Below are 20,140 nucleotides of genomic sequence, written 5' to 3'. Positions count from 1 at the left end.
GTGTGTGTGGCGCTCAGGGCCTTATTGAAAACTAACAGCAAAAATAAACGCTAACCCTAGGACCACAGAAGCTGGGATCACGAAGTCTCAGAAACGGGTTTTTCAGCATGCACACTGCTGGCATTTGGGGCTGATGATTCTTGGTAGAGGGGACGGTCCAGTGCCTGGCGGGGCTGGGGGGCTCTGCAGCCTCCTGGCTTCCCCACCGCTGGATGCCAGTGTCAACCTAACCACAAGATTGGGACAACCAAAAACATCTCCAGATACAGCTGAAGATCCCCTGGAGGGCGAAACCACCCCCCAGTTAGAACCACTGCTTTGAAGAATCAGAGGGAATGGTGTATTAAGTTTTATGTGACTACAATAGTTTATGAGGTGTTCTTCCATGCGTCCATCTTTGTTTTGTCCTCTCTGCAGCGGGGAGAAGTGGGGATAGCCACACCATGGAGCATGAAAAATATCCCAGAAATAGTTTTCAAAATAAAGCAATTACACACACACAGACACACACACACAGTTTTCCACATGCAGTGCACACACACACACAGGTTTCCATATGAAGTGTGCACACACACACAGAGGTTTCCATACACAGTGCACACACACACAGGTTTCCACACGCAGTGCACACACACACACACACACAGATTTCCATACGCAGTGCACACACACACACACACACAGAGATTTCCATACGCAGTGAACACACACACACAGGTTTCCATACACAGTGCACACACACAGACAGGTTTCCACATGCAGTGCACACACAGGTTTCCATACGCAGTGCACACACACACAGGTTGCCACATGCAGTGCACACACACACAAAACAGGTTTCTATATGCAGTGCACACACACACACAGGTTTCCATACTCAGGGCACACACACACAGGTTTCCATATGCAGTGCACACACACACAAACACAGGTTTCCACATGCAGTGCACACACACACAAACACAGGTTTCCATATGCGGTGCACACACACACAAACACAGGTTTCCATATGCGGTGCACACACACACAAACACAGGTTTCCATATGCAGTGCACACACAAACACAGGTTTCCGTATGCAGTACACGCACACGGATTTCCATACGCAGTGTACACACACACACAGGTTTCCACATGCAGTGCACACACACACAAACACAGGTTTCCATACACAGTGCACACACACACCAGTCTATAGTGCTTGGATGAAATCCCCCTTTCTCGAGTCTGAGTTCTTTGTTTGCTCTTAGCCAATGTGAGTTGCTCTGCAGGCACCTTTGATGTTGGGCACTAGAAGACCCAGCCGGAAACAGTTTCAGCCGCTGAAACTGTTGACCCCACTGTCCTCACTGAGTTTGTCTGTCTGAACAAGTGGGGCCTGTTCCCTGCACTGAGACCTCTTTGTGTGGAGTATTTCGTGACGTGACCAGGTGTAGCCCATGATGGCCAAGCGAGGGTGGTTATGTGATGGGCAAAGTCTGCCAGGAGGACATGCCAGCCACCTCCAGGGCTGGGGTTGCAATCGGAGGGCATGGAGGGGCCCTCGAGGAAGGGCTGAGGAAATACCAGCTGCATGACCCACAGGTTGCAAGTACGGGTGGACATTCCTGACATTTCCAAGAGCTGCACAAACCCTTGGGCAGCCTGGGGCCACGGATAGGGGCGCTGCAGCTGGAAACAGCTCAGTCTGGGACCACAACACCGGGTCTGGGGTCTCCAGTCTCCAGGGTGCAAGTCCTACCCTAAGGGCCAGGTGTGTGGCCGCTGTCCTTCCTGCTCTCAAGAACTTTCACCAGTCAGAATATTTGATTCTTCAAATTTTATGCATGCATGCATTGGATAAACTTATAAAACTTCAAACATTTGGCCAGGCGCAATGGCTCACACCTGTAATCCCAGCACTTTGGGAGGCCAAGGCAGGCGGATCACTTGGGGTCAGGAGTTCAAGACCAGTCTAACCAACATGGTGAAACCCTGTGTCTACTAAAACAATACAAAATTAGCCAGGTGTGGTGGTGCATGCCTGTAATCTCAGCTACTTGGGAGGCTGAGGCAGGAGAATCACTTGAACCTGGGAGGTGGAGGTTGCAGTGAGCCAGGATTGCGCCACTGCGCTCCAGCCTGGGCAACAAGAGCAAAACTCTGTCTCAAAAAAAAAAAAAAATTCAAACATTTTACAAAGTCAATCAACACAAAATTACTACCCAAGTAGCCCTTGTTTGTCTCAAAAGATCAGAAAATAAAGTGAGCAGAAGGACAGCCAACTGGAATCACAGCACACAGAGATGGGCTGCCTTTACATGGGGGCTTGGAGTCCAGGTTCTATGCAGAAAGATACATATTTCCTTTAAAAAGTGAGATAATTCAATATGCATTTTTTTGTAAGATGTATTATTTTTTAAAAATTAATAGTCTTTATTTTAGAACATTTTATTTCTTAAAATTTTATTTTTAATTGACATAATCATTGCAGATATATTTATGGGGTACAATGTGATGTTTTGATATGTTTACAGGGTGGAATGATTAAATCAGGCTAATTAACAAATTCATAACCTCATATACTTACTACTTTTCTTTGTGATGAAAACATTTAAAATCAACTCTTTTGGTAGTTTTGGAATATCCAGTGCATGATTAGTTATTATAGTCCCCAGTCTACGTAATTGATCCCTAAAGCTTACTCCTCCTGTCTAACGAAAACTGTATGGCCTTTGATCAACACCTTTTTGCCTCATCTATGCCCCATCGGCCCCCAGCCTCTGGTACTCATCATTCTACCTTCTGCTTCTATGAGTTCAACTTTGTTTTTTTTTTCCCCTCAAGATGGAGTCTTGCTCTGTCACCCAGGCTGAAGCGCAGCGGCGCAATCTCAGCTCACTGCAACCTCTGCCTCCTGGGTTCAAGCGATTCTCCTGCCTCAGCCTCCCAAGTAGTTGGGATTACAGGTGCCCACCACCACATCCGGCAAATTTTTGTAGTTTTAGTAGAGACAGAGTTTCAAGATGTTGACCAGGCAGGTCTCAAACTCCTGACCTCATGATCCGCCAGCCTCAGCCTCCCAACCTCCCAAAGTGCTGGGATTACAGGCGTGAGCCACCACTCCCGGCTGAGTTCAACTTTTTTAGATTCCACATATAAGTGAGGTCATGTTGTATTTGTACTTGTCTTTGTGTGCCTGGCTTATTTCACTCAGCATAACGTCCTCCTGGTTCATCCACGTTGTCACAAATGTCAGGATTTCCTTCCTTTTAAAAGGATGTGTAGTATTCCATGGTGTATGTGTATCACAGTGTCTTTATCTGTTCATCTGATGATGAACATCTAGGTTGCTGCTGTATCTTAGCTGTTGTGAATAGTGCTGCAATGAACATGGCAGTGCAAACACCTCTTCAACATACTGATTTCAGTTCCCATGAGTATCTACCCAGAAGTGGGATTGTGGATCACATGCTTGTTCTGTTTTCAGTTGTTTGAGGAACTGCCATACAGCTTTCTAAACTGACTGTGCTAATTTACATTAGCACTGTGCATAAGGCTTCCCTTTTCTTCACCTCCTCACCAGCACTTGTTATCTTTCGTCTTTCTGATAATTGCGGTTCTAACAGGTGTAGGGTGGTATCTCATTGTGATTTTAATGTGCGTTTCCCTGGTTATCAGTAATGATGATCATTTTTCTATATATCTGTTGGCCATTTGTATGTCATTTTTTTGAGAAGTGTCCGTCTAGGTCCTTTGTTTATTTATTTTTTTATTTTTGCTTTTGTTGCTTGTGTTTCAGGGGTCTAGAACATTTTTAGATTCACACACAAAAAAAGCTAAACAGATAGTACAGAGTGCTCCTATATAACTCCCTCTGAAGCACACAGTTCCCCCCATTATTAACATCATGTATTGGTGCGGTACATTTGTTTCAATTAGTGAACCGGTATTGATAGATTATTATTAACTAAAGTCCATAGTTCACATTAAGTTTTATTCCTGGTGCTGGTGCTGTGCATTCTATGGGTTTGGAGCATAATGTGCTGTATCCACCTTTATAGTATCACACAGAATTGGTTCACTGCCCTAAAAATCCCCTGTGCTCCGTCCACCTCATCATCCCTTCTAACCCCCAGTCTCTGGCAGCCAGTGATCTAGTAATTGTCTCTGTGGTTTTGCATTTTCCCAAAAGTCAAATAATTGGAATCATGTATTTACTTAATAATATACAATGGGCTGGGCGTAGTGGCTCATGCCCTGTAATCCCAGCATTTTGGGAGGCTGAGGCAGGTGGATCTCCTGAGGTCAGGAGTTCAAGACCAGCCTGACCAACATGGTGAAACCCTATCTCTACTAAAAATACAAAAAATAAAAGAAATAGCTGGGCATGGTGGCGAGTGTCTGTAATCCCATCTACTCAGGAGGCTGAGGCAGGAGAGTCACTAGAACCTGGGAAGTGGAGGTTGCAGTGAGCCAAGATTGCATCATTGCACTCCGGCCTGGGCAACAAGAATGAAACTCCGTCTCAACAACAACAAATATATATATATATATATATATATATATATATATATATATATATATATATGTAAAATGAACATCTCTGCATGTCAAAAAAATCCATCTACTTGATCACTTTACATGGATTCATAGTTTTCCCCGAAATAGATATATCCAAACATATTTAACCAGTGTATTGGAGCCATTTTCCCCTTTTTTCTATTTTAAATAATCCCACCATGTGATCTTGTACATGCATCTTTGCACATCCGTCTGCTCATTTCCTTAGGATAAATTCCTAGAGGGGGAAGTTCTAAATCAAAGGGAAGACCTGCACATTTGGAAGGTTTTGGGTAGAGACAGTCAATAGCCTACCAGGGCAGGTGGACCACATGCTCCAACATGAGTCTACACCTGCTCCGACGTGAGTCTGCACTGTATGAGGTGCACATTTGAGTCCTGGGTGGCTGTGAGTGTCCTGGGGCTGTCCTAACAGATGACCACAAGCCTGCAGGCTTAAAGCTGCAGGAATTTCTTCTTTCACAGTTCTGCTGCCCAGAAACCTGAAATTAAGGTGTCTGCAGGGAGGGTTCCTACTGGAAGCTCCAGGAAGGAATCTCCTCCAGGCCTCTCTCCTGACTTCTTGTGGCTGGCGACAATTCCTGGCATTCTGTGGCTTGTGGACTCATGACTCTCACTTCTGCCTCCTCTTCACATGGCCTCCCCCTCGTTTTTCCTCTTCCTAGGACACTTGTCGGGGGATTTAGGGCCCACCCTGTTAAGCCTGGATGATCTCATCTCTTAAGAGCCTTCACTTCACTGCAAAGGTCTTTTTTCCAAATAAGGTCACATTGCAGGTACCAGGGGTCAGGATGTGGACATAGCTTTTAGGGGCCACAGTGCAACTTATGATGAGTACTACCTCCTTTTTACAGAGAAGGAAGCACTGGCTTAGACAGGATGAGGGACTTCTCAGGCTGCACTCCCTGAGAGGTGAGGGTGGACCTCGCACTCCAGGCTCTGGGTACTTGACAAATAACGTGGGTGCTCGTCTCTCCCTGCCACAAGGGCCCCACCACAGACTTCCGGAAAGGGTGGCCTCAGGACACCATCTTCATGTGCCCCATTTCCTAGGAGCCCTCTAATCTTTAATGACAATTTAAGGAACGCTGAGAAATCTATTCTTTTTATATTCTACTTATTTCTATTTTTGCCATAGTCTGTGATACCGATCAGCCCTTCAAAAGACCGAGCTGGGTTTGTCCAGTGGTTGAATGATCATCAAACAGTGAATGATGGCAGAGTTCTTATGGGCACTTTGGACCATGGGCTGCGGCATGGCCTGGTGGATAAGCATTTGGGCTCCATGTGGCCTTGGGCAAGAACTTTGACCTCTTCGAGTCTCAGTTTCTCCATCTCTAGAATAGGGATAATAATATATGTGCCTCCTGGGCTGTTGAGGGAATTCAACCATACAATGTAGGTGGAGTTCTTAGCACAGCATCTTGCACAGAGCAAAGGGTCGTAAATATTTGCTACAGATGAAGGTGACTGTTGGGCTTTTTGCATTTGCTAACTTATTTATCAATTGCTGCTCCCCTCTTGTTGGTCCCTCTGGCCATTGCAATATGGGGCGGGCCTTTGCCCAAACTCCCAGCCAGGTCCCTGCTCCAAACACCCAGATCCCAGCCTCACTACTCCGGAACCTCCTTTGCATTTCAAATCCCAGGGCCATGGCTGGTGTGTCAGGAGATAGACATTGAGGATGAAGTTTCATTTGCTTCCCTCCTCTGCAATCCTGGGAGCTGCCATGATGACACAGAGGCCTTTCAGGGGTCACGCCTGGCCCCCCATTTCTTTCCCTTTGTAACTGGGCTCCTTTGTCAGCACAGGTCCCATTCTTTGGAGAAAAAGTATGGTTAGGCCCATGGACTCTAGGTCTTTGGATGTTCCGAGTTCTCTTCATGTCCTGGGTAACAAAGTCAGCATGTGGACAAGGCCCCCAGAGGATGCAGGGGCAGTCTTGATTTGGCTGGGAGGTTCCCAGTGACTCCAGAGGCTCTTGACTCAGAGGGACCACAGCAACAGACCCTGAATGGGTGGCACTGGTGACTGTCCTGGGTCATGATCCATGAAGGCAGTGGGTCCTGCGAGAAGGGAGACCCTCCCCAGCCCCGACCTGACCCCTGACAGCAAAGGCACAGAATCCAAGAGGCAACAGCACTGAAAGGTACAAAGGGCCCCCCCACCGGCCACAGCCCTGCCCTTGACCCGGGAGGGGAACTGGGGTTTCCTTTTTAGGAATAGTAGCTCCAGCATCCTCAGGGTATAGGTGGATCCCCAAAGAGGTCTAAATAATGCAACTAGACCCCAATGAGTGCATGTCAAGATACCTCACTGAGGAAGAAACATCTTGAGGTTTTGGGAAAATGGAGCCAAAAGAGGAAAAAACAAAAACATAGCAGAGCAAAACATGGAATGACCATGTGACCAGCAGTTCCACTCCTAGGTATATGCCTGAAAGAGCTTAAAACTGGTGTTGAAATAACACATGTACACAAATGTCCACAGCAGCACTGTTTACAGCAGCCAAAAGGTGGGAACAGCACAAACGTCCACCAGTGGATGAGCAGATCAACAAAATGTGTTCTGTCCATAGGATGGAATATTATTCAGCCATGAAAAAGAAATGAGACACTGATACAAGCATACCTCATTTTATTGTACTTCACTTTATTGTGCTTCACAGATGTTGTGTTTCGTATAAATTGAAGGTTTGCCACTCTGAGTACAGCAAGTCTATTGGTGCAATTTTCCCAACAGCATGTGCTCACTTTGTATATCCGTGTCACATTTTGGAAATTATCGTGATATTTGAAACTTATCATGGCCTGTAAGTGTTCAGGCGAAAGGAAGAGTTGTGTACCTCTCACTTTAAATCAAAGTTTAGAAATGATAAAACTTGGAGGGGAAGGCAGGTTGAAAGCTGAGCTAGGCAGAAAACGAGGCCTCTTACACCAGTTAGCCAAGTTGTGAATGCAAAGGAGAAGTTCTTGAAGGAAATTAAAAGTGCTTCTGCAGTGGACACATGAATGATAAGAAAGTGGACCAGCCTTATTGCTGATCTGGAGAATGTTTGAGTGTTCTGGATAGATCAAACCAGGCACAACATTCCCTTAAGCCAAAGCCTAACCCAAGGCAAGACCCTAACTCTCTTCAATTCTTCTTTTTTTAAATTTAATTTATTTTAATTTATTATCATTATTTTTTGAGATAGAGTCTGGCTCTGTTACCCAGGCTGGAGTAACAGTGGCAACACAGTGGCTTGATCTTGACTCACTGCAACCTCTGCCTCCCAGACTCAAGTGATCCTCCCACCTCAGCCTCCCAGGAGTGGTGGCAGCCTTGTGCCACCACACTTGGCTAATTTTTGTGTTTTTTGTAGAGATGATGTTTCACCATGTTGCCCATGCTGGTCTTGAACTCCTGAGTTCAAGCAATCCACCCACCTTGGCCTCCCAAAGTGCTGGGATTACAGGCGCGAGCCACCACACCCAGCTTTCAATTCTATGAAGGCTGAGAGATGTGAGGAAGCTGCAGAAAAAAAGAAGGAAACTAGCGGAGGTTGTACATGAGGTTAAGGAAAGAAGCCATTTCCATAAAATAGAAGTGCAAGGTGAAGCAGCAAGTGCTGACGGAGAAGCTGCAGCAAGTTATCCAGATGATCTAGCTGAGACCATTGATGAAGGTGGCTACACTAAAGATCAGGTTTTCAATGTAGACAAAACAGCTTTCTAGTAGAAGATGGCATCGAGGACTTTCACAGCTAGAGAAGGAGAAGTCAAAGCTTCAAAGGACAGGCTTACACTCTTGTTAGAGGCTAATGCAGCTGATGACTTTAAATTGAATCCTACACTCACTTGCCATTCTAAAAATTCTAGGACCCGTAACAATTATGCTAAATCTACTCTGCCTATGCTCTATAAATGGAATAACAAAGCCTGGATGACAGCATATCTGTTTACAACATGGTTTGCTGAATATTTTAAGGCTACTGTTGAGAACTTACTGCTCAGAAAAAATATTCCATTCAAAATATTACTGTTCATTGACAATGCACCTGGTCATTGAATCATGTGCTCTGGTAGAGACGTGCAAGGAGATAATGTTGACATTAATGTAATCATACCGGAAAGCATAACATCCATCCTGTAGCCCACAGATAAAGGAGTCATTTCAACTTTCAAATCTTATTATTTAAGAAACATCTAATGTGTCTCACAGGACTATTGCTGCCTTAGATAGCGATTCCTCTGATGGATCTGGGCAAAGTAAATTAAAAACCTTCTGGAAAGGATTCATCATTCCAGATGCCATTAAGAACACTCATGATTCATGAGAGAAGGTGAAAACATCAATACTAGCAGGAGTTTAGAAGTTTGATTCCAACCCTCATTGTTGACTTTGAGGATTTCAAGGCTTCAGTGGAGGAAGTCACTGCAGATGTGGTGGATATAGTGAGAATTAGAATTAGAGGTGGAGCCTGAAGAAGGGACTGGGTTCCTGCAATCTTATGAGAAAATTTGAATGAGTGAGGAGTTGCTTCTTGTGGGTGAGCAGAGAAAGTGATTTATCGAGATGGAATTTACTCCTAGTGAAAAGTCTATGCCCACTGTTGAAATGACAACACAGGATTTAGAATATTCCATAAATTGAGTGGATAAATTGAGTGGATAAAATTGGAGCAGACTCCAATTTTGAAAGAATTTCCACTGTGGCTAAAATGCTGTCTAACAGCATTGCATTCTACAGAAAAATCTTTCCTGAAAGGAAGAGTCAATCATCAAGGTAGCCAACTTCATTGTTATCTTATTTTTACAAATTGCCACAGCCACCCCAGCCTTCAGCAACCACCACCCTGATCAGCCAGCAGCCATCAACATCGAGGCAAGACCTTCCACCAGCAAAAAGATGACAACCCGCTGAGCGTTCAGGTGATTGTTAGCACTTTTTGGCAATATTTTAAAATTAAGATATACATTTTTTAGGCCAGGCATGGTGGCTCATGCCTGTAATCCTAGCACTTTGGGAGGCTAAGGTAGGCAAATCACTTGAGCTCAGGAGTTCGATACCAGCCTGGGCAACATGGTGAAACCCCATCTCTACAAAAAATACAAAACTTAGCTGGGTGTGGTGGCACACACCTGTAATCCCAGCTACTAGGGAGGCCGAGGCAGGAGAATTGCTTGAACTTGGGAGGCAGAGGCTGCAGTGAGCAGAGATCACGACACTGCACTCCAGCCTGGGCAACAGAGCATGACATGTCTCAAAAAATAAATAAAGAAAGAAAAGTTAGACACAAAAGACCACATATTGTACAATCCTATTTCTCTGAAATGTCCAGACCAGGCCAATCTATGGAGACGGAGAGTAGATTGGTGGCCTCCAGGCTGGGGGTAGGGTGTGTGATTGCTAATGAATGGATGTTTCTGGAGAGGGTGATAAAATGGTTTGGGACTAGACAGTAATTTTTCACTTTAAAATGGTAAATTTTATGTCATATGTGATTATCATCTGAATAAAAGAGAGAAAAAACGCAGAGCAAGAGCATTTGAAGAGAAAACAGGAAAACGCAGGATCTCTTTATGGGTGCATGGCCTCTTTTTGCCCATTTTAGGGGAGTGTGGGGCAGGACCTCTGAGAACAGCATATGAGTCGCTGGGAGAGCCTTATTGAGCAGGAACTTCCTTTGTGGGAACCCAGGGCTATCTGTCTGGCCCATCTCAGCTGCAGATTCCAAGGCCCCTTCAGCCCCAGGGCTCTTTCTCCAGTGAAGGGTCCTCGCCTTGGACCCAGGAATGACAAAGAGCCGGGGCTCTGAGGCTGCTATGTGTGCCTCTATCTTCCCTTTATGTGTTGGCTTGGCCCTCCTAAAAAGCCTGTGACCACTTCCTGACCAGGTGAACCCTTTTTGACCAGACACAGCTACTTAAAATAAGCCTTTAGGTACACGGATGGAGGTCTGCTGGCCGAGGCTGGCATTTGCACACTTCATTGCAGCACTGGAGAACTGAGTCTTCTTTTACTCAATTTTTCATAGAAATAGGCACATTCCCCATCCCTTCCCCTCGCCCCCACAACCCCTGACGCTCAGCATCCAGGGCTGATCTGAGAGGGACCCGGGAGGCAGAGAAACCCCAGAGCCGTCATTTCCCAGATGTGGCATTATGTGTGAGCCTAGGTTTGTGTTCTTTTAACGGCACCACATAAAGTCGCTTTAGGAAAGTCTTTATTCTTATCATGTAACCGGTAGATCAAAAAGCATCCTCATACTTACAGGATGTGATGTGACAGATAACCGACAGATGTGGTGGTGGGAGAGGCTGTGGGAGCGGAAGGAAAATCAGAGAAAGAAAAGAGAGCGCTTTGTTGGGTTCGGGGTGTTGTTTCACCCACGTGAAACAACAAGAAAAGGCCCACGTGGCCTTAGCTTCTTTCTAGTTTGAGAATGGGTTGTTATTTCTAAGACATAGGCAAGGAGCAGAATGTGGGAGGAAAAAGTCAGAGATTTCCACTGAACCTACGAGACCAAACAAGAAAGCGCTCGATGACAGTGGTGAAAGCAGTGTTTGGGGTGCCTCTATCCACCAGATGCAGCTGGTTCATATGGGGCCCTTTCCTGGACCCCACAGGAGACAGGTGGCCAAAGGATCTCAGACTAACGCATCCAAGCGTGCCTGGTTTGTCCTTAAGGAGGCCTAGGGAATGAGTTACACTGGCACAGAGTGAATGAACAAGCTAAGACCGCTGCCCAGTTAGACTCGTAAGCTTACTTTACATGGTGTAGATACTAAGAATAGCCAACATTTATCAAAACATCTTCTTTCTGCCGAACGCTCTCCTGGGAGTTTTCCATGTAGTAGCTGATTTAATCAGCTCAGCAGCCCTCTGGGATGGGGGCTTGCATTAGGGACATTTCACAGACGGGAAACTGAGGCAGAGAGGGGTGAGGGGACTTGCCCAAGGTTATGGTGGGAAAGCAGTGGTGCTGTGATACATGTAAAAATCAATGAGAAAAATTATATTATGCTGCAAGTCCCAAACCGCACCCAAAATAATCACCGAATAATGATACAGATTGGGCGTGGTGGCTGACGCCTATAATCCCAGAACTTTGGGAGGCCGCGGCAGGTGGATCACTTGAGGTCAGGAGTTCTAGACCAGCCTGGCCAACATGGAGAAACCCCATTTCTACTAAAAATACAAAAATTAGCCAGGTGTGGTGGCATGCGCCTGTAATCCCAGCTATTCGGGAGGCTGAGGCAGGAGAACAGCTTGAGCCCAGGAGGCAGAGGTTGCACTGAGCCAAGATCGTGCCACTGAACGCCAGCCTGGGTGACAGAACAAGAGTCTATCTCATAAAAAGCAAAACAAAACAAAAAATGATACTAGCAATAACTGCCAAATGCATTTAGCCTTTGCTGTACCCAGGCACTGGGCACCCTGCCTTTCTCACTGAGTTTACTTAGTGCAGACAGGCTTTAAGTAAGGTGGGAAACTAAACCCCCCATATAGAGGAGGGAATGGAGGCCTCAGAGCAGACGGACCTGGAATGGAGTCTTGCCTCCTATGTTTGTGGCCCTGTTTCCCGGGAATTGGAAATGGTGCTGTAAAGTGCCTGGTATGGGGAGGTGAACCTGCAGGCCGGTATTGTTGTGACTTCGCTCTCCCTCTTGGTAGCAGCCACCGTCAGTGTGTTCAGAAGCATCCAGCTGCCATGTTTTGGGTACAGTTCCCATGTCTTCTCCAAATCCCATGTTGGAATTAGACCCCCAAGCTTGGAGGAGGGTCCTGGTGGGAGTTGTTTGGGTCATGGAGGCGAATCCTTCATGAATGACTTGGTGCGTTCTCCTGGTAATGAGTGAGTTCTCACTATTAGTTTGTGTGAGAACTGATGGTTGAAGATCTGGGCCCTCTGCTCTCTCTTCCTTCCTCTCTCGCCAGCTTCCCATTGCCTTCTGCCAAGGTGAGTGGAAGCTTCCTGAGGCCTCACCAGAAGCAGATGCCAGCACCATGATTCCTGTACAGCCTGCAGAACCATGAGCCAAATGAACCTCTTTTCTTAGCAATTACCCAGCCTCAAGTATTCCTTTATAGCAATACAACTGAACAAAGACCCCAGGCCAAAGGCGGAGGGGATTTCGAGGCTCTAGGGTCCAAGAAGTGGGCAGGCCTAGCCCCCTCTAGGCACAGGCTTGGATCTTTTTAAATTTTGAATAAGACTGGAAATGATTTCTCTCTCTTTTTTTTTTTTTTTTTTTGAGATAGAGTCTTGTTCTGTCGCCCAGGCTGGAGCGCAGTGATCTCAGCTCGCTGCAACTTCCGCCTCCTGGGTTCAAGAAATTCTCTTGTCTCAGCCTCCTGAGTAGCTGGAATTACAGGCATGCACCACCATGCCCAGCTATTTTTTGTACTTTTAGTACAGACTGGTTTTGCCATGTGGGCCAGGCTGGTCTCGAACTCCTGACCTCAGGTGATCCACCCGCCTCAGCCTCCGAAAGTGCTGGGATTCCAGGTGTGAGCCACCATTCCCGGCCCTGATTTCTGTTTGCAATGTTGTGCAACCACTCCTCCACAGCAGTGAAACAGGTGACATTACAACCCCACTTTCAGGAAGTGGAAACTGAGGCTCAGAGAGACTGAGTGCTGTATCCCAGGTGGCTGGGCTAGTGAGGAGCAGAGCTGGGGTGTTTGGGTTTGTGCTCAGGGGAGTGTCCTCTAGGGCCCTTCTGGGCTGCTGAGGGAGCAGAGCCGGCTGCACAGGCGAGCCCAGCGTGCCTAGACGGGCCTGCACCTGCTGCAATGCCCTGCGATCACCATCTTGAAATTCTTACTAGGGTTTGAACAAGGGATCTTGCATTTTCATTTTGCACTAGCCCAGCAAATGATGTAAGAACAGGGGAAGGAACTGAGAGACAGCCACCTGGGGACCAGGGCCCTCATCCTGGTTCTCTGTGTGGCCTTAATCAGCTGTCTACCACTCCCTCTTGCCTTGGTCTCCCCGTCTGCAAGATGAAGGAACAGGGCTAGATTGGGATTCCCTCATGTATATTTCATGGAACACTGATACCTCATGGTTCACTGAGACAAAGTCCCTCCAAAAAGTGAGTTTGTGAAACGGTGCAAATTTTTCTCTTGGAAAAATCCAGGGCAGTTTTGCATATTCAGGGATCTGTGTAGACTTGAAACAACAACAACAAAAAGCCTTCTTTAAAAAAAATGGCATTAGTATTTTCCAAATATATTAGATCACAAAAGCCTTCAGCAAAGTGGGATATCGGCCGGGCGCAGTGGCTCACACCTGTAATCCCAGCACTTTGGGAGGCCGAGGAGGGCGGATCGCTTGAGGTCAGGAGTTCCAGGCCAGCCTGGCCAACATGGTGAAACCCTGTCTCTACTAAAATACAAAAATTAGCTGAGCGTGGTGGCGGGCGCCTGTAATCCCAGTTACTCCGGAGGCTGAGACAGGAGAATTGCTTGAACCTGGGAGGCGGAGGTTGTGGTGAACCGAGATCGCGCCACTGCACTCCAGCCTGAGCAACAGAGCGAGACTCTGTCTCAAAAAAAAAAAAAAAAAAAAAGTGGGCTATCTACAAAATATCCCCAGAGAAATGCTAGACTAACACACTTTTGAACTCTTTTCCAGTATTCAGGGCAAACCTTCTGCCTTCCTTTTACTATCCCCTGGATTGACCGTGTCATGCAGGAAATTCAGAGACAGACCCCGCAGGCATGTATGGAACGAGCACAGAACAACTGGCAGCCCTGAAGGAGGATCTGGGGACAGGGAAGGGGCTCGAACGGTCCTCTGCTCCCATTTTTCAGCCCTTCCTCGGACCCAGAACAGCAGACCAGAATCACCTTTCACCCATGGAAAGGGGCTGGCACTCCAGGGATCTGTCCTGCTTGCTTTGGGCGGTCACTAGATCCCTCTGCCACATTTAGGGTCACTCCTCAGAGCACATGACCCCTCTGGAATCCTGAAGCTGCCCAGGGTAGGGCGGCACTGAGGCGGAAGCAGTGTGACCCTCCTGGGTCGGCTGGGCCTTTGACAGCTGATGTTTCACGGGATACTCATTCCTGCATGGCTCAGCTGCCTGAGGGCTGCCCCACCACTTCCCTGAGCTAATGTTGCCAGTGTGAAATTCCAGATTTGACCCTGAACTTCCTAGCTGGGTTTTAAAAAGGTTTGTTTGTAAGATGCACGGAGCATTGTTGGCCATCTTTTCATGGGCTCTTTGGCCATTTGTATAGCTCCTTTGGAGAAATGTCTGTTCAATTCCTCTGCCAATTTCAAAATTAGGTTGTCTTTTTTTTTTTTTTTTTTTTTTTTTTTTGAGAGACGGAGTCTTGCTCTTTCGCCCAGGGCGGACTGCAGTGGTGCTATCTCTGCTCACTGCAACCTCCACCTCCCGGGTTCACGCCATTCTCCTGCCCCAGCCTCCCAAGTAGCTGGGACTACAGGCGCCCACCACCACACCCAGCTAATTTTTTGTATTTTTAGTAGAGACAGGGTTTCACCGTGTTAGCCAGGATGGTCTCGATCTCCTGACCTCTTGATCCGCCCACCTCGGCCTCCCAAAGTGCTGGGATTACAGGCGTGGGCCACCGCACCCGGCTAGGTTGTCCTTTTTATTGCATCTTCTCGGGGGTCATCACCGTTGTTGAGCCTCATGAGACACACACAAAGTCTCCCTTCGCAGCATGTATGTTTATCCTGTGGTGCAGTGGTGGGCTCTGGCCAGGCAGGAGCCGGGGGAATGAGGGGCCTGCACAAATCTTGCTTTCCCAGGTGGGAGTGGGGCTGGCAACAGCTGGGGGCATGGTGGGGAAAGGAGTCAGGGGCCAGTGGATGGACACTCAAGCGGGGCAATGTGGCCCCTGGCTCCAACACGGCCTGGTCATCTTCTTATGATTCCCATACATTCATTCATAGTGTTGGCACAAAGGGGCTGTCCTCACTCCTCTGGCTCCTGCAGTGAGGTGGTAGCAACACAGCAGTGCATAGAGGTTGCGCCCCTGGGAGGGCCCTGGGCAGGGAAACGGGAGCCTGGGCTCTAGGTCCCGCTCCTCCACTTGCAGTCCCATCACATTGGGCTCCTCATCTAGAACTGCGGGATGACCCTCACTTTCCTGCTTCCCGACTATGGAGAGGCACAGGTGAGAACACCCGTGACAGCATGGGGCCAACCTCAGCTACTGCTGTGTGCGTGTGTGGAGGAACGTGGCTGCTGTGTTCCGGCCCCAGCACAGGCACCCCCACTCCACATCCATAACCAGGCCCCACGGCTTAATCACCCTGCCACATGCACCCTTTTTGGCCAAGACAGGACTTCACAGCAGGGGACCATCTGAAACAGGGAGGCCTCAAAGTAAGACCCAGGGGGTGGACCCTGGGAGGGCAGGGCCTGGTGGTGGGGAGGGGCCTGGTGGCAGAGCCCCAGCAAGTTTCTCCAGAGCTTTGACAGAGGAAGAGGTGTCTGGGGAAGGTCTACCTGGGGCTGGGCCTGGCCAAGGGCTGGAGCCAGGTAGCGGAAAGACTGACTTCACCTTCACCTACTTGGACTTAAGCAGAGGGTCTGGACCTGGCATACAGAGGACTAGCCCAAGGTCAAGGCCGGAGACATGGCTGGGACCTGGCTGGCCTCTTCCTGACATTGGAAGCCATGGCCCAGGGCATGTCAGACTTAAGGGTAGCCACGACGTAGGACATGAGGGAGGGACCTTGGGGATTTCTAGGGCCAGCACCCTCAGACTTTCTAGCAAAACTCTGGCCTTTGCTCCCTCCCAATGCTTCTGATTCCTATACATTCATTCAGTCATTCAACAAACATCTGTGGACAGGAATGCTGGGGACACAGCTCTGAACAAGAAAAACTCAGCCCTGGCCTTGGGCGCTTGCCTTCTAGGGTGAGACAACGATAAGTAAGCAACCACGACACAGGAAGAGACTTGTCGGGGAGTGGAAGTGCTCCCAGGAGCATCAACTTCGCCTGTGGGCTGGGAAAGTGTGCACTGTCCCAGACAGACAGACCAGGATCTGGTGATGTTCCCAGGAGCCAGGCACGAAGGTGAAGCATCCCCAGCTCCCAGACACATGTACCTTGACAGGAAGCAAATCCTAGGCCTGAAACACCCGATACCCCAAATCCTAGGCCTGAAACACCCGATACCCCAAATCCTAGGCCTGAAATCCCTGATGCCCCAAATCCTAGGTCTGAAACCCCTGATACCCCGAATCCTAGGCCTGAAATCCCTGATGCCCCAAATCCTAGGCCTGAAACACCCGATACCCCAAATCCTAGGTCTGAAATCCCCGATACCCCAAATCCTAGGCCTGAAATCCCCAATGCCCCAAATCCTAGGCCTGAAATCCCTGATGCCCCAAATCCTAGGCCTGAAACACCCGATACCCCAAATCCTAGGCCTGAAACCCCCGATACCCCAAATCCTAGGCCTGAAATCCCCGATGCCCCAAATCCTAGGCCTGAAATCCCCGATGCCCCAAATCCTAGGCCTGAAATCCCCGATGCCCCAAATCCTAGGCCTGAAATCCCCGATGCCCTAAATCCTAGGCCTGAAACCCACGATGCCCCAAATCCTAGGCCTGACACACCCCATACCCCAAATCCTAGGCCTGAAACCCCTGATGCCGCAGTCCTAACTCCGGGAAGCAAATAAAGACTTCCTGCCAGAGGACTTAGAAAGTGGGAGCGTTTACTGATGCTCTTTCTGCTCATTGGTCATTATTGTGCTTCTCAACAGTATCAAACAGTGAAACTTAAGAGTTTGAGCGGCCTTGCCTCCTGGATCTTGTCTTTGCCTTTAGAATTGTAATTATAGGATGTGTGTGATTTTTTTCCCACTTAACATGTCGTGAATATTTTCCATGTCTATGTAATCCTTTAAAAGCTATTTACAATGATTACATAATGTTTGGGACGTGTCATGATTTGCTTTCCATTTTACCTCCTGTTAGATGCCAAGGTCATAGGGTGGAGTCTCAGACCCACCCCAGCCTGGTTTATCATTTCATTGCCCTCAGCAGGAGCCACGCCGAAGTGTCAGATGTACCTCACCTGCCTCTTCCTCCTGAAGGATCTTAGGCTTTCAGCACAGGAGGGGGGTTAGGGATCTTCTGTTCCCATCCTTTTATTTTCTCAGCTGAGAAAACTCAAGACCTTGTCCAAGATCACAGGGCAAGTGAGTGATAATCCCTCTATGGTGAAAATGATGGAACTGCACTGAAATACATCAAAGAGTGGAAGGATTTCTTTTTGTACTGGAACTGTGCTGAATCTGTATACAATTTGGGGGAGAACCATACCTCTAAGATACTGAGTCTTTTATCAAAAAAATGCTCATCCGGGCGTGGTGGCTCATGCCTATAATCCCAGCACTTTGGGAAGCTGAGACGGGGGGATCATGAGGTCAAGAGATTGAGATCATCCTGGCCAACATGGTGAAATCCCATCTCTACTAAAAACACAAAAATTAGCCAGGCGTGGTGGTGCACTCCTGTAATCCCAATTACTCAGGAGGCTGAGCCAGGAGAATCACTTGAACCCAGGAGGCGGAGGTTGCAGTGAGCCAAGATTGTGCCTCTGCACTCCAGCTTGGCAACAAAGTGAGACTCCGTCAAAAAAAAAAAAAGCGCCATTTGGATACATCTTTGTTAGATTTATTCCCAGTTTATTTACATATATGTATGCATCATATACCTGTGTTTGTTGATGTTGCTGTTGTAAGTGGCATCTTTTTAAGACTTGTGTTTGCTAGTTGTTGCTGCTTTATAGAAATGCAATTGAGGTTTATATGCTGGTTTTGTACCCACCCACTTTATTTAAATGTCTTATTGATAATTTTCCATAGGTTCTTTTCAGGTTTCTATGTAGACAGTATTTTCATTTGTAACTAAGAAGAGTTTTCTGTGTCTTTCTTCCTTTATATTTTCTTTTCATGTCTTACTGCACAGGTTAGCAACTCCAGTTTGGTGTTATACAGAAGAGTCTGGGACGTGGTCTTAGCAGGAATGCTTTTAATTTTTCTCCAAGCATGATGGTTATTGCAGGTATTTTTGGGAGAGGCTCTTTTGTGGTCTTAACAGGAATGCTTTTAGCTTTTCTCCAAGCATGATGGTTATTGTAGGTATTTTTGGGAGAGACTCTTTATCAGATGAAGGAAATTCCCTTCTATTCCTATTTTGCTAAAATTTTCAAACCATGATTGGATATGGACATTTATTGAATGCTTTCTTTTTCATTTACTAAGATATAATTTGCTTTTTTAATCTGTTATTGTGGTAAATTACATTAATTAGATTTTTATATCTAATTAATAGATTTAAATCTAATTAACATATTTGTATAAATCAGGCTTGTATTCCTGGGATAAACCTGACTTGTATGTGATTTATTACTCATCATTTAGAACTCTACATTTCCTTATAAGTATTGTGTGTGTTGCATCTGATAATTTGTGATATGGAATCTTTTTAAAAAATCACTCCATTTGGCTGGATTATGCCTGTAACCCCAGCACTTTGGGAGGCTGAGGTGGGTGGGTTGCCTGAGGCCAGGAGTTCAAGACCAGCCTGGCCAACATGATGAAACCCCGTCTCTACTAAAAATACAAAAATTAGCCAGGCGTGGTGGCACTCGCCTGTAATCCCAGCTACTCAGGAGGCTGAGGTAGGAGAATCGCTTAAACCTAGGAGGCAAAGGTTGCAGCGAGCTAAGATCATGTCACTGAACTCCAGCCTGGGTGACAGAGTGAGATTCTGTCTCTAAAAACAAACAAACAAACAAACAAAAAGAGGCCAGGTGCAGTGGCTCATACCTGTAATCCCAGCACTCTGGGAGGCCGAGGTGGATAATGAGGTCAGGAGTTCGAGACCAGCCTGACCAACATGGTGAAACCCCATCTCTACTAAAAATACAAAAATTAGCTGGGTATGGTGGCAGGTGCCTGTAATTCCAGCTACTCAGGAGACTGAGGCAAGAGAATTGCTTGAACCCAGAAAGTGGAGGTTGCAGTGAGCTGAGATTGTGCCATTGCACTCCAGCCTGGTCAATAGAGCGAGACTCCATCTCGAAATTAAAAAAAAAAAAATCACTCCAGTTGTGCATTGTTAGTGTATAGAAATAAGATTAATTTTTGTGTGGTGATCTTCTATCTTAGGACCTTGAAAACCTGCTTGTTAGTTCCAGGAGTCTTTTTTTAAAAAAATATAGGCTTCTTGGGATTTTCAGTGTGGTTATGTTGCCTGAGGACAGGGACAGTTTTATTTCTTTCCAATCTGCAAGGCTTTCATTTCTTTTTTCTTGTCTTATTTTATTGGCTAAGATTTCTACTATGATATTGAATAGAATGGTGAGAGTGTCTATGCTTGCCTTGTTCCCAATCTTTGGGGGAAAGTCTTTACTTATTAAGCATGATGCTAGATATAGGATTTTTGTTGATGTCCTTTATCAGATGGAAGAAGTTCCCTTCTATCGGTATTTTGCTGAGAACTTTATCATGAATGGATGCTTCATTTTGTTAAATGCTTTTTCTGTGTCTGTTGAAATGATCATATGTTTTTTCTTTAGGTTATTGAT

At 46.8% G+C, this 20,140-nt stretch overlaps 9 annotated features.

Annotated features, from left to right (window-relative positions):
* Positions 1,262–1,556: an enhancer, noted in NCBI's record as "tiled region #10534; HepG2 Activating DNase matched - State 5:Enh". NCBI's record gives its function as "activates a minimal TATA promoter and a strong SV40 promoter by Sharpr-MPRA in HepG2 cells {active_cell/tissue: HepG2}" and the evidence as "EXISTENCE:reporter gene assay evidence [ECO:0000049][PMID:27701403]".
* Positions 8,960–9,104: an enhancer, noted in NCBI's record as "145 bp 11:69375393 sequence used in MPRA reporter constructs". NCBI's record gives its function as "activates a minimal TATA-containing promoter with rs7928898 allelic activity by MPRAs in C283T melanocytes {active_cell/tissue: C283T}" and the evidence as "EXISTENCE:reporter gene assay evidence [ECO:0000049][PMID:36423637]".
* Position 9,032: a transcriptional cis regulatory region, noted in NCBI's record as "rs7928898 or 11:69375393 MPRA-significant variant associated with a GWAS melanoma risk locus at 11q13.3". NCBI's record gives its function as "allelic transcriptional activity by MPRAs in C283T melanocytes {active_cell/tissue: C283T}" and the evidence as "EXISTENCE:reporter gene assay evidence [ECO:0000049][PMID:36423637]".
* Positions 12,711–12,855: an enhancer, noted in NCBI's record as "145 bp 11:69371642 sequence used in MPRA reporter constructs". NCBI's record gives its function as "activates a minimal TATA-containing promoter with rs2001671 allelic activity by MPRAs in C283T melanocytes {active_cell/tissue: C283T}" and the evidence as "EXISTENCE:reporter gene assay evidence [ECO:0000049][PMID:36423637]".
* Position 12,783: a transcriptional cis regulatory region, noted in NCBI's record as "rs2001671 or 11:69371642 MPRA-significant variant associated with a GWAS melanoma risk locus at 11q13.3". NCBI's record gives its function as "allelic transcriptional activity by MPRAs in C283T melanocytes {active_cell/tissue: C283T}" and the evidence as "EXISTENCE:reporter gene assay evidence [ECO:0000049][PMID:36423637]".
* Positions 13,769–13,913: an enhancer, noted in NCBI's record as "145 bp 11:69370584 sequence used in MPRA reporter constructs". NCBI's record gives its function as "activates a minimal TATA-containing promoter with rs2001780 allelic activity by MPRAs in UACC903 melanoma cells {active_cell/tissue: UACC903}" and the evidence as "EXISTENCE:reporter gene assay evidence [ECO:0000049][PMID:36423637]".
* Position 13,841: a transcriptional cis regulatory region, noted in NCBI's record as "rs2001780 or 11:69370584 MPRA-significant variant associated with a GWAS melanoma risk locus at 11q13.3". NCBI's record gives its function as "allelic transcriptional activity by MPRAs in UACC903 melanoma cells {active_cell/tissue: UACC903}" and the evidence as "EXISTENCE:reporter gene assay evidence [ECO:0000049][PMID:36423637]".
* Positions 17,235–17,379: an enhancer, noted in NCBI's record as "145 bp 11:69367118 sequence used in MPRA reporter constructs". NCBI's record gives its function as "activates a minimal TATA-containing promoter with rs498136 allelic activity by MPRAs in C283T melanocytes {active_cell/tissue: C283T}" and the evidence as "EXISTENCE:reporter gene assay evidence [ECO:0000049][PMID:36423637]".
* Position 17,307: a transcriptional cis regulatory region, noted in NCBI's record as "rs498136 or 11:69367118 MPRA-significant variant associated with a GWAS melanoma risk locus at 11q13.3". NCBI's record gives its function as "allelic transcriptional activity by MPRAs in C283T melanocytes {active_cell/tissue: C283T}" and the evidence as "EXISTENCE:reporter gene assay evidence [ECO:0000049][PMID:36423637]".

Source organism: Homo sapiens, chromosome 11, assembly GCF_000001405.40.
Source record: "Homo sapiens chromosome 11, GRCh38.p14 Primary Assembly".
NCBI classification, from domain to species: Eukaryota; Metazoa; Chordata; class Mammalia; order Primates; family Hominidae; genus Homo; species Homo sapiens.
The sequence above is the reverse complement of the archived record's forward strand: the minus strand, read 5'-3'. Positions and strand labels throughout refer to the sequence as shown.